Raw genomic sequence first — 13,339 nt, 5'->3', positions numbered from 1 at the left:
TTTGTTTGTTTACCCCCAATTTCAGTAGCTTAGATGCTGTAAATACTAAATGAATACTGTGTTTCATTAAAATTAAGATACATGATGGCTGGGCACGGTGGCTCACTCCTGTAATCCCAGCACTTTGGGAGGCCAAGGCAGGTGGATCATGAGGTCAGGAGATCGAGACCATCCTGGCTAACACGGTGAAACCCCGTCTCTACTAAAAATACAAAAAATTAGCCGGGCGTGGTGGTAGGCACCTGTAGTCCCAGCTACTCGCGAGGCTGAGGCAGGAGAATGGCGTGAACCCGGGAGGCAGAGCTTGCAGTGAGCTGAGATCGCGCCACTGCACTCCAGCTCTGGGCGACAGAGCAAGACTCCGTCTCAAAAAAAAAAAAAAAAAAGATATATGATTTGTAAAATGCACTATTATTTTATTACCACTAAAAGGGGGTAGGGGGATGCTCAAATTAGATTGACACATTTCTAAGACCGCGGCTATAAGACATGATTCAATTTTTTAAATGTTCAGTGTAGAAAAATGCATCTTTGAGTCAGTGAAATATGGTAAGAGTAACGTGGAGTTGGTATGCCTACGTAATGGCTTTCTCCTTTCATTGTGTAGAATTTTATTCAAAGGACTGTCATTCTGAATGTTTACTAGAAGAGTAGTGTTGGTAGTAATCAATCATTTGAGGGTCTTAAAACCCTTTGAAATGTGCCAGTCTGTGAAGAGTGCCAGCCAGAGCTCTTCCTGCAGCAACGGTGTTTGCATTGCCTCCTATCTATCATCTACCACCCACAGGCCAGCCCTGCCTGAGCATCTTCTTCCATCCTCTGGCACCAACCCAGGCCCCTGGCTGCCAGTCTGGCTCTGAGTTCTGCTCCAGCTCTGAGACCAGCTTTCTGTCTAGTTCCTGAGACCCACTCGTGGTATTTGTTTCATGTCCTCTGCATAAGTGTACAAGATGCCCATGAACTCAGTTTGTAGTCCAGTGGGAAACCCCAGTCATTAGGTAGTTGTATAAGTGATTGTGGTCCGTATTACAAAGAGGAAATATAGGATGCTAGGAGGAAAATTCAGAACTGAACCAGTTAGGGATAGGGGAAGGCAGGAGTGGCTGAAGACATTTCATTTTAGCCAAGACCTGAAGGATGCAGAGCCAAGTATGTCAGAGCAAAGCATTCTGGTCCAAAGGAACAGCATGTTTAAAGACAGGTGGTCAAGAGTTGTGGGCAAGTGAGATGACTATAGTGTCATGGGAAAGTTGCCTAATCTCTCCAAGTCTTGTTTTCTTATCAATAAAGTGGAAATGATAGTGTCTACTTCACAGGGATGCTGTAAGGATTATGTCCAATTCGCAAATGCCTGACCCAATGGTCTTAAGTAAAGCTGCTCTCCTCTGGCATCCCAGATGCACCAGCACTGGAGCCCCGCTTTTCACCTGTCATCCCCTGATCCCCATTGCTGGGATCCTGTCCCTGAATCCCAGCTTCATGACTCAGATTCTGCCTCCCGAGGCTTCCCTGATACTCCACTGCCTTGCCAACCTGCTTGGCAGCTTCCTCATGCTGCATGTTAGTAGTGAACCTACCCTTGCCTCAGGTCTCTGTACTGACAGAAAACTGCTTCTAATCTGATCTTGTTGCCTGTTTTCTAAACTGCTCAAGTAGACCATTCCCTGCAGTGGATGATCTGGTTCCAAATTCTGATCCCTCCTAGACTTCCCCAAGTAATGCAAATTAAAATGGCTGACTGATGTCGGGATATATTATAAGTAGCTAAGTTTATTTTCAATTAAGTAATTCCTACATCCTTACTATGTACTTGGGCCATGCCTATGTGGAAGAAAGAGCTGTGGTCCCTGTTAAGGTGTTGACTCCTTATCTAGAATCTAGAGCATAAAGTGGTAGTAAATGATAGGAGGAAATTTACAATACTGCGGTAATGTGATGCAGGCTACACATGTTCTGCCCCTGCTGTTCCTTGGCTGTGCTTGGTGCCTTGGCTTTGTGAATGGTGAGATATTTTTCTTAGCTTGAACACTACATTGTAGCCGGAAGCCTGGCTAGTGCAGATGGGTACCCAGGTGTTCCACAGTGCATGAATCAGGATTTGGGACCTGTTCTTTAGCAGTAAGAGTTGGGGTACCTCTATGGTTTCTGTAAATTAATTAATTAATTAATTAATTAATTTTGAGACGGAGTCTCCCTGTCGCCCAGGCTGGAGTGCAGTGGCGCGATCTCGGCTCACTGCAAGCTCCGCCTCCCAAGTTCACCCCATTCTCCTGCCTCAGCCTCCCGAGTAGCTGGGACTACAGGCGCCCGCCACCACACCCGGCCAATTTTTTGTATTTTTACTAGAGATGGGGGTTTCACCGTGTTAGCCAGGATGGTCTCGATCTCCTGACCTCGTGATCCGCCGGCCTCAGCCTCCCAAAGTGCTGGGATTACAGGCATGAGCCACTGCGCCCGGCCAGGTTTCTGTAAATTTAAAGATTTTCTGTAGTCCAAGCTCAGAACCTAAAGCAAATTGATAAATGTGCTGAAGGCTATGCCCTTTCGTAAGAAATCAGCCATTAGTCCTCCTGTTACAGGCAGAAAGGCTCTCCCCACTGTGAAGTTGACAGGGCAGTGGCCTTGGCCATACCTCTGGTAGCCCTCAGTAAAGGGGGTGAGCTTGGAATTGGGCTGTTAGTGGAACGTAGTGAAGGGAGTCAGTAAGCTGCCTTTTGTGTTCCAGCACTAAATCTCTCACAAATGGTTGGACTTTCTTTTCTTCCAAGATTTCTCCCATGCTTTTTAGTAACTTTGATATGCTGTGTATTTTTGGTTTCTTGTATAACCAAGTCATTACGAGTCTTTCAGATGTATGCTTTTACTCACTGTCAATCAGATTGGTTATTTCCACCAAGTCAGACATTGTAGTTTGGTTTGTGTGTTTTATGATCAGCCCATTGGATTTGGGGATGCTGATGTTTCCTTGCTCTAGAAGTTTAGAAATGCTTTTGGAAGCAGTTCCTGCAATTATGTAACACCTGGAACCAAGTGCGTGATAGATGCTGTCCCACTGTTCAGAGTCCTGGGTAAATATTTAAGAGTTGATCATTATAATGCATTGAACATAATTACAAAACAACAGGAATAATATAGCACATACTCAAGCTCACACATTTTTCCTGAGATGCACAAAACAATTTTCTTTTACTTCTGTTCCTGAATGACCCTGTACCACAGCCACACAAACTAAGAAGCTTTGGGAAACAGAAACTAATAGTGAATTTGAGCTTAAAGGTTTTATGAATAAAATGTTACTACACTAAATGTTATTTCTTACATGGATTTTAGAGTTCTTCAGACCCAGGCTATTCCCATCCACTCTTGTCTATAATGCTGCTAAGGATTGGCTGGATGGATTTTTCTGATATTTCTGATAAACAGAAAATGGAAAAAGAAAGCCTGCAAGGGCTCTAGTCCCTTCTCAACACCCTTATTTTTGTTGGTGAGACTATCATATGAAATGAAATGCTTATTTTAAAATTATACACATACATGTGCATGTGTGTGTGTGTGTGTGTGTGTGTGACCAGCCTGGACAATGTGGCAAGACCCCATCTCTACAAAAAATACAAAAACTAGCTGGGTGTGGTGGTGTGCCTGGTAGTCCCAGCTACTTGAGAGGGTGAGGTAGGAAGATGGCTTGAGCCTGGGAGGTCAAGGCTGCAGTGAGCTGTGATCAGGCCACTGCACTCCAGCCTGGGTGACAGAGCAAGACCCTGTCTTAAAAAGTATGACCAGAGCCTCAGGACAGTCATCGCAGGGCTGGTATGGCAAGGTTAAGGAACTAAGCTCAGCCAGTGCATTCTGTGTATGCTGGTGTAGAATGGAGGTTGTGAAAAGGAGGATGTGACTGAGACCCTGGGACTCCACATCAGGACCAGCATTTATATCGTCCTCCAAATTGAAATAGTTGTATTATCTCAAAGAAGATATCTGTTCAATATATCTGTTCAATCTATCTGATGTTTCTCAAATTTATAAAATCAAGAATTTAAATTTTGGAGTGTAAGTTGGTTGGGGGAAAGATGGTCACATAAGCCTTTGTCAAATGCATGAGTTTTAATAGATCATAAAACCTCAATATCTCAAACCCTTTAAAAATATGGCTTTGCAGGTCGGGCACAGTGGCTCATGCCTGTAATTCTAGCACTTTGGGAGGCCAAGGTGGGCGGATCTCCTGAGCTCAGGAGCTGGAGACCAGCCTGGGCAACATGGCGAAACCTTGTTTCTACTAAAAATACCAAAATTTAGCTGGGTGTGGTGGTGCACGCCTATAGTCACAGCTACTTGGGAGGCTGAGGCAGGAGAATCACTTGAGCCCAGGAGGCAGAGGTTGCAGTGAGCCAAGATCGTGCCACTGCACTCCAGCCTAGGTGACAGAGTGAGACCCTGTCTCAAATAAAAGAAAAAATGGCTTTGTTACGTTTATGCATATATAGTGACTGGATTTAGGTTGAAAAATATTTGGCCTTATAGAAGTCCTGTTCCCCTGAGCACATGAAAATGGTATATGATTAACCTATTGAAGCTCCAGCTAGCACAGCAGGGGCAGCTTCCATCTGTTAGGTTGCTTGTAAATATACAGGTACTCCTGAAGGGCTTGCGAATAACGTGTTTCATTCCCCAGACAGGCACACTCCTAGGTAATTGTGTTTTTCCTATTCATTTGCTTAGTAAGTGCCTTTTCTCATGAATGCTGAAATAAAGCAACTCAGCCCCAGACCAAATTACAACACATTTTGAATGACAACGATCCAAAAGAATGAGATTTTATTCTCTGTTTTGTTATAAATATAAAAGGTGAGTTATAAAATATAAAAGGTGAGTCCTGCCTATCTTATGGCATATAAAATATGTTATAAAATATGGAAGGTGGGGTGCTTACCTCCTTCCTGAAAGGATCAATTAAGGCAATAATTGAAGGGTACTTGTTGATCAGATCCACATACAGGTCAACCATCTCCGCTGCATTTTTGTATGTGCCCATGATCACTTCATACTTTCCTTTATTCTGATATGTGTCAGGAAAATATTAAAATAAGGGATAAATAATGAATTCATCAAATCCCAAAGATACGGTTCAGATTCGTTTTCGTTCATTTTATATAAGAGGTTGTAAACAGGTTCTTTTCAGGGCACGTTGACCTGAGAAATCTGTCCATTCTACTTTAAATATCTTAAATATTAACCTGGGAAATCAAGTCACCATTCCTTTTGATGCCCTCTAGGGTTCTTCCCACAGACTTCAGATGCAGCTTCCTACACAAAACACCAAGAATTACAGAGTAGGAGGGGAATAATCTGTTAGACTTGGCTGCCTGCGTAGATGGACAATAACATAAATTCACAAAATAAGCAGAATAGCAATGCTAACCTGCTCACTCACTAGACCCTACCATCTTTCAGGTCACATTGAATGAATAACTTGTTTCCTTTACTGTAAATACTCTAACGCTTGAAAGCAAGGCTAGGCTTTTGATATACTAACAACCAGTGTGAAAAATAATGTGATTTATTTGAGGCATTTCTTTCTTGGGTAGCATGTACTTTCTAGTAGTAACGATATTGTCCAGAAGGTAGAATTCTAGTGCAACATTCATTTGAAGTCTGGAAAGCCCCTAAGTCATTAAGTATAGAAGTAAACAGGGCTGAAGGATCTAGAATAGCCTTTCTGCAGAACAAAGCACCCTTCCTTTTAAGTCTATGTTCAGGGATGGTACCTGGGATATTTTGGCACTGGGAGGGAGGTGGAATGCAACAGAGTGGCTGTTTGGTTTGCTAATGCCTTCCTGCTGCTGCTAATAGAATGGATTCCATTGGAATTAAGCAGCTTCCTAAGAAGACCATAACTGAAGGGATTTCATACTTTTTTCACCTTCAAAAGCAGCAAGAACTTTTAACTTCTATAATGCAAAGCTTAAAAAACCCTATCTTGTCAGTGAGGAAACGCTAATGATTTTGAACTAACAATATTGTAAGAATTATCTGATATCAAGCTAATACATTTTACTGAATATAAGCAATAAATACCCATTCTAGTTAGCACTAGCAGTCAGTATATTCATAGTTCCTGGTATACGTTGCTGATGAAAACATGCAATTTTTTTTTTAATGGTATGCCTAGGAACCAATCATTATGTGAAGAATAGGAAATTACTTTAAATATTCTTTTATGTGCTTAGTTTCTTTAGAAAAGTAAAAGAACTTTTAGAAGTCAAGCAAAATTTAGGGCTCTTTTATAGAGTTCAAAATTTCCTTTGTAAAGTTAAAATCACAGTTAAAGCAGAATGCTATTTGGTCATGTCCCCTGAATTTGACATAAATTACCAAGTCACCATAGATGCTTGGCAATATGCTGGGCATTTCATAAAATGTAGACTCAACATTTTTGTGTATTTGAAATTGGGAAGTGTATTAGTTTGTTCTCATGCTGCTAATAAAGACATACCTGAGACTGAGTAATTTGTAAAGGAAAGAGGTTTAATTGACTTACAGTTCCACATGGCTGAGGAGGCCACACAATCATGGTGGAAGGTAAAGGAAGAGCAAAATCATGTCTTACATGGCAGCAGGCAAGAGAGAGTGTGTGCAGGGGAACTCCCCTTTATAAAACCATCAGATCTAGTGAGACTTATTCACTATCATGAGAATAGCATGGGAAAGACCCGCCACCATGATTCAGTTACCTCCCATGATACATGGGAATCATGGGAGCTACAATTCAAGATGCGAATTGGGTGGGGACACAGCCAAACCATATCAGGAAGTACATGTGTAAGACAGAAAACTAATAACTTTCCTAACATACCAGTTTCCCAAGTTTAAAGGTAAATTGCCGTTGTATTACCCTGAGGAAGTGAAGACTAGAATGTTGCTTGTTTTTTGTTTTGAGATGGAGTTTCACTCTTGTTGCCCAGGCTGGAGTGCAATGGCACGATCTTGGCTCACTGCAACCTCCGCCTCCTGGGTTCAAGCGATTCTTTTGCCTCAGCCTCCTGAGTAGCTGAGATTACAGAAGCCCACCACCACGCCCAGCTAATTTTTTGCATTTTTTGTAGAGGGGGGTTTCACCATGTTGGCCAGGCTGGTCTTGAACTCCTGACCTCAGGTGATCCACCCACCTCGGCCTCCCAAAGTGCTGGGATTACAGGCGTGAGCCACTGTGCCCCACCAACTAGGATGTTTTTCAATGAACCTGTTTTTCACTCTCTTTAGAATCTTTCTCTTCAGGTGGGTGGTCCCCAGGTGGAGTCTCGTCACATCACTAAAGCTCTGTCCTCCTAACCCAGGCTGTGGATAACACTGTGATGTGTTTAGTTGGACAAAAACATCTTCTTCATAAACTTCAATAACTTGGAAAAATTTTTATATTTAAAAAGTCACAGCATAAATTCTAAGAACTACATGTCTGGAAGCGCCTATCACATCATAAGTTACAACTCATCTACTTTTTAGGTTCGACAAATTCAGCATTTATCAACCAAATGCAGTTTGTTAAATTATTTTTCAGTAGCTTTCAGGATTGCAATGTAAGTAACTCATTTTACTTATCTTTATTGTAGAATTTCTATATATAATAATGACATTTTCTATTTAAAAAATTTTATGGTTATGTTATTCTGTGGTCATTAGCTAATTTGGTTTTCTCATTATATTTGGATCCTTCACACAATATTAATAAAAAAACAATAAGATCTGTTTGGACAATATTCAGATAAGCTCTTTTTTTTCTGAGTTCTAATTTAAAAATCATGGATCTCAATAGGAAGTGAATGTTCTGAAGTGGAAACTTACGTAGTCCATCAGCTCATGTCCAGCACAGTTGATAGCTAGATGCAGATTTGTTCCCAGTTCTAGCCCCAGGTTGGCACAGATTTCCTGTATTAGAAGCAGTGGCTGTTCTATGGAGTCACAGTTAATGGTTAAACAGCCAAGATGAGACATCTTGCCAGTGATCTGCTGCTGCAAGATCAAGAGACAATGATCCATGTCAATACAGCACATTAAGGTTCTTGGCGCTTCCTGTGATAAGCATGGTTTATGATCAGATATAGCTCTGCAAAGATCAGTCCTTTGATTCTCAATCCTACTTAGGATTGATTCACATGACTTAGGGCATATGATTCCCCTGCAGTATCTGGGAGTAATTTTCTTACTCCTGAGGTTTCCAAGTTTGGCCTGGGAGTGCACTTTTCTCTCTTTAGTGTGTCTGTGTTCTCTCTTTATGGATGCTGCCATTCCTTGTACATGGGGCTAGCCTGAGTCACAACCACCCAGTTGGTGAATCTCCAGGCCCTCCCTGTAAATGTCCACCCTGTCTGTCTCTAGCTCTGCCAGTCCTTTTCCTCCAAACCTGCTCTTTCGTATGTTCTGTTTTCTTCTAGATAAACGCAGCCATTAAAAGCATAGCCCTCCTTCAGGAGAAGTTTCATTTATTTATTTGTTTTGAGATAGTGTCTTGCTCTGTCACCCAGGCTGGAGTGCAGTGGCTTGAACGTGGCTCTGCAGCCTCGACTTCCCCAGGCTGAAGTCATCCTCCTTTCTCAACCTCCTGAGGAGCTGAGACTACAGGCATGTGCCACCACACCTGGCTATTTTTTTTATTTTTTGTAGAGACAGGGTCTCACTGTGTTGCCCAGGCTGGTCTTGAAGTCTTGTGCTCAGCACTCCCAAAGTGCTGTGATTACAGGTGTTGGCCACTTTAAAAGGATTGAAGACTTCCACTAAGAGGATGCAATACTGAAGATGGATTTTAGTGGAAGATGATTTCAGGACCCACATAACCCCAAGGAAAGACAGCTACTGCAAAGTCAGCCTTGATGTGCCCTCGCCATAAATTGCCACTATGCAATTATAAATTGAAGCAATATCAATGAATCTGAGGGCTTAAGGTAAGGGGTGTGTGTGTGTGCACCAAACTCAATGACAAACATGAACCCGGGAATGAATATTCTGTTTTGACTGGTGATAGCACTATTTTAATGTCAATGAGAAGAAACTTTTATTTGGCAAACAAAGCAATAGTTGGGGAAATTTTTGTCCATCAACTGAGTTTTGTTACAGAGCCTTCTAAACTATGAAAGCATCACTTATTTGGTGCTTACTAAATGCCAGGTACTGTTCTAAGCACATTACATAAAGTAAATACATTTACTCCTTACATCATACAAAGATATTATGATCTCCATTTTACGGAGTTAACTAAGTTGAACCAGATTTTAATCCAGGCAATTTAGCACCAGAGTTTATACCCCTAATTCTTGTGTGGCTGCCTCTCTGGAATCTATACTCTAGACTGTTTCTAATGGGAAAAAGAAAAAGTAGTAGTAAAGCTTATTACAGGGAAGGCTGATGTTGGTCTAAGTTTCCCAGCATGCAGAGAACCACCTGCTGGGATGAAGGCACAGCACTGAGAATTGGTGGCTTGTTTACCATCTCCACCTCTTGCAAGGCCTAATATTAGAAGGCTGTGCTCATTCCAACATATACAAACTGTTGACAGGATTTTACTTACCGCTGTATGTGTTCACACATTTCTCTTCTCTCTCCTGATCTTAAAAAGAAACTTCACTTTTTTATCTTTGCCATGTCTTCTCCCTTCTTTCCTAGCCCCTCTTTTTTTTGTCTTCAGCTGACTCTCATGTACCTAACATCAGGGTGGGGCAAAGATTGTTCGCTCACAAACCAAAGCAAATACTGCAGATGCGAGCAACCTTCACCCATGTGCATGCTCTTCAAAGTTCTTATTGGCTCTTCTATTTATATTGTTGAAAGTTTAGGCTATAATAGATACATCTATCAGCGCACTCACAATCACCAACGTGACTGACAGATCAAGTTCAGCTGGTCTCCCAAGGCTCCTGAAGCCAGCGAACGGGTTTTGACAAGGAGGGCTGTTCGCCTCACTCTCCTGGCAAAATCGGAGTTCCTGCAATGGTTCGTCAGAAATGATGCTTCAGTGCCTTTGGGGGACCAGATGGAAGGAATAGCCATCTTTTTGTGCTTCTTGTTTTTCTCTTTGTTAATAATAAAATGTAAAACATCCTATGTGCCTTTCAGCTAGTTGTCAGAGAGATTCGACTTCCCAAACACTTCCCCTATAGGGTCCAGTGTAACCCTACGTCTCATAAATGCTTCCTAGCCCTGTGAGATTCCAGATGGTCAGACAGCTGCTGCCAGCGATGGTCGGGCAGCCTGTTGCTGGAAGGCAGGGGCAGCATGATACTGCAGCTCTGGGGGTGTCTGGAGCAATATCACTATATGGTTTCCATTTGCCTCAGTCCTGGTCTTGGAGCAAAAAGTGACTATGGAAGATAAAAAGGGGCAGGAAATTTATAGACAGTGTCATATGGAAGGATGGTAAACAATATATAGACTTACTTGACCTCTTTTGCTTCCATCGTGCCCTTTTTTTGTCTCTGCTTTTGGAGGAGAGGGCTGTGGGGCAGAAGATAAAAATGTATCACCTGGAATTTTTAGCATGGCTGTGGCAGCAAGCAAAGCTTACTGCTCTGAGACCTGACCAGCAACACTGAATCTCACACACGTGTGCACACATACACGCACACACACGCACTCATGCACATAGGGATGATTCCAGCCACTCCCTACTTTATATGCCACAAACTATTTCTCAAATTCAGGAATGTGTTTCCTTTAGTTCATCCTTACCCTCTGCCCCCAGTCACATATATGGGGTGTGTGTACAGATTCATGCATTTCTATGCATATAAATAATGTGTTATTCACACATATATCATGAACTCCTGCTGTGTGCAGGCACCCTTTTTCTGCAGGAGGATACAAAGTCCCCTCCTTGCCCTTAGGGCTTAACCCCACTGCGGGATTTGCTTTTACAGGCCCAACATATTGTTTTGAATATTCTCAGAGTGCAAACACTTTCTCCTGCAGGGTGGTTTTGACTTTGATTTGAAACAGTCAAAGGTCATTAAATCTGGTGAATCTGGTGGGTGTAGTGTCATGAGGTTAAAAGCAAAGGTAATTCCCAAAGAGGCATTCCCACATTTGGGGTATTGGGTGCATATTATTGCAAGGATCTAATCTTTTAAAGGATGCTCAGCGTGTACTGATTCTGTAAACTGAGGCAGGATTGTCAAGCATAGGTATGGTTCACACTCAAGTATATGCACATACAGTGACCCTGAACAGAAGGGCAAAGGGAAGTCATGTGATGTGATCGGGGGACAATAGTGATTACTGGCTCCAATTCAGAATGGCAAACATTAAAGAACAGTCTTGGTTTGCATTATTATTGGATTTCTCATGTTTTTTATGCTCCCTCATTGAGACTTTTAAACTGCCTGAGGACAGGAAGTATGTTTTTCTCCCCTTTTGCACCTAGCACAGGGCCTTGCAACAGCAAAAAATAACCAGGGAAAAAAACAACCTGTGACATCTTTCTGTCTACCTTACTAAGAATAAGCTGTTACATAATGGAAGTCAAAATCTCCAGCCCCACCTCTACCCCTTTTCTTTTAAAGACAGGGTCTCACTCTGTCACACAGGCCGGAGTACAGTGGCACAGTCATGTCTCATTACAGCCTCGAACGCCTGAGCTCAAACAATCCTTCTGCCTCAGGCTTCAGAGTAACTGGGACAACAAGCGTGCACCGCCATGCCTGGCTAATTTTTTTTTTTTTTTTTTGGTAAATATTTTTGTAGAGACAGGGTCTCACTATGTTGCCCAGGCTGGCAGCCTTTTTAATCATAAAAAATGCAATGTATTCTAGAATGGCTGTTCTCAGACTAAGTGGATTTAAAAATGGCTAAAAACTGAAACAAATATAATCTTTCCTTAATAAGAATTAGGCAACTCAGGAGTTCCTAGGGAGAGTGAGTTATGCCAAAATAAATCTGGCATGATGTAATCTACTAATCTCTGCCACCAGCCAAATGATGTCATCAGGAACTATCACTCTATTACTAAAACAAAGCATGGTGATTGCAGTAACCCTGGTTCCACTCCTATCATCTCCTGTTTTAAGACCGTGGCTTTAGCTAAGGTTATCTATAGACATCTTTGGGTTGGGGCCTGCATGAGAAAACATACCATTTCTTCAGCATTTTTTTCTCAAAATAGATTTAAATTAAGACTTAATAGAAGAATCGCGGTAATGTTGGGAATGATCTGTTATCACTGTAATCACTGGGAAGGATTAAACATCTTTCTATATTCAATTACTAGGCTATCAATAGGTGTCCTTTATTAGGAGCCCAGCAATTCAGCGTTCCTCCCATACAGGATTTTTTTTTTTTTTTAATGGGACAGGATCTCCCTCTGTCACCCAGGCTGGAGTGCAGTGGCATGATCAGAGCTCACTGCAGCCTCAAACTCCTGGGCTCAAGCAATCCTCCCACCTCAGCCTCCCAAGTGGCTGGGACCACAGATGCATGCCACCACACTGGACTAATTTTTGTGGAGACAAGGTCTCGCTATGTTGCCAGGCTGGTCTTGAACTCCTGGCCTCTCCACCTCAGCCTCCCAAAAGTGCCGGGATTATAGGCATGTGCTACCACACTTGGCCAAGACAGGCATTTAAAAGTTGTACAGATGAGGAAACCAGTGCATTGACAGGATATGTAAGAGGCTCACCGTGGCAGCTCCTAAGTGCAGAACCATAATAGAAACCAAATCTGTTGCTTCAAAGATTGTGCTCTTTCTGCTACACTACATAATCTTTAACAACTTAAACTTTGTGACTTCGACAGCATAGTGATGGTTTTTGATATCTGAGCTTTCTCTAAGTGCTTTACTGCTTTTCCTTCAAACATGAATGAACTAGTTGGAGCTATTACTAAGAATCCCACTGCAGCTTCCAAACGTGTAACACCACATGGAAAGTCAACAGAAATGTGATCCCTGCTTCACACTATTGATATAAAGGCCAGGTGAAATTAAGATATAAATAAATCTTTGAAACTATAAAAGTGTTTGAAGAAAACATATTCTGTGATTTGGGGGCAGTTTAGCATCTGATTAAGATCATGGATTCTGAGTTTGAATGCCAGCTTGGCCACCTACGACCTGGGGGTCTTGGGTGAGTGCTGGGCCCAAGGTTCTTAATCTATGTAATAGGGGTAATAATAGTACCTACCTATACAGTTATGCAGATTGAATGAGTTAAAGTATTAAAGCACTCAGGATGGTACGTAGTAAACTTAAAAAAATACTTGTGGATTATTAGTATTCCAGGAAGAGGGAGCCCCTTATGAAACAAGGCACACAAAGCAACAGCCTTAAAGCAGGCTTCCTCAGCCTTGGCGCTATTGACATTTG

The 13,339-nt window shown here is 42.1% G+C and overlaps 1 protein-coding gene across 5 annotated transcripts in view; it reads right to left on the bottom strand.

The window, feature by feature from the left end:
- Positions 1 to 13,339, bottom strand: part of ENO4 (enolase 4) — a 62,877-nt gene that overhangs the window by 33,247 nt on the left and 16,291 nt on the right. For 3 of the 5 annotated variants that reach the window (XM_006717835.4, NM_001242699.2, XM_047425228.1), the window contains 4 exons: positions 10,423 to 10,479; positions 7,837 to 8,004; positions 4,928 to 5,053; positions 2,869 to 3,064 (listed from right to left, as the gene is read on the bottom strand). In XM_006717835.4, coding sequence (XP_006717898.1) covers positions 2,869 to 3,064; positions 4,928 to 5,053; positions 7,837 to 8,004; positions 10,423 to 10,479 — 547 coding nt within the window. Of the gene's footprint in view, positions 1 to 2,868; positions 3,065 to 4,927; positions 5,302 to 7,836; positions 8,005 to 10,422; positions 10,480 to 13,339 lie in introns of those variants that run through there. The other 2 variants (XM_011539797.4, XM_005269815.4) reach the window with 2 other exon arrangements.

Source organism: Homo sapiens, chromosome 10, assembly GCF_000001405.40.
Source record: "Homo sapiens chromosome 10, GRCh38.p14 Primary Assembly".
In the NCBI taxonomy this organism is placed as follows: Eukaryota; Metazoa; Chordata; class Mammalia; order Primates; family Hominidae; genus Homo; species Homo sapiens.
This window is presented reverse-complemented; position numbering and strand designations above follow the sequence as displayed.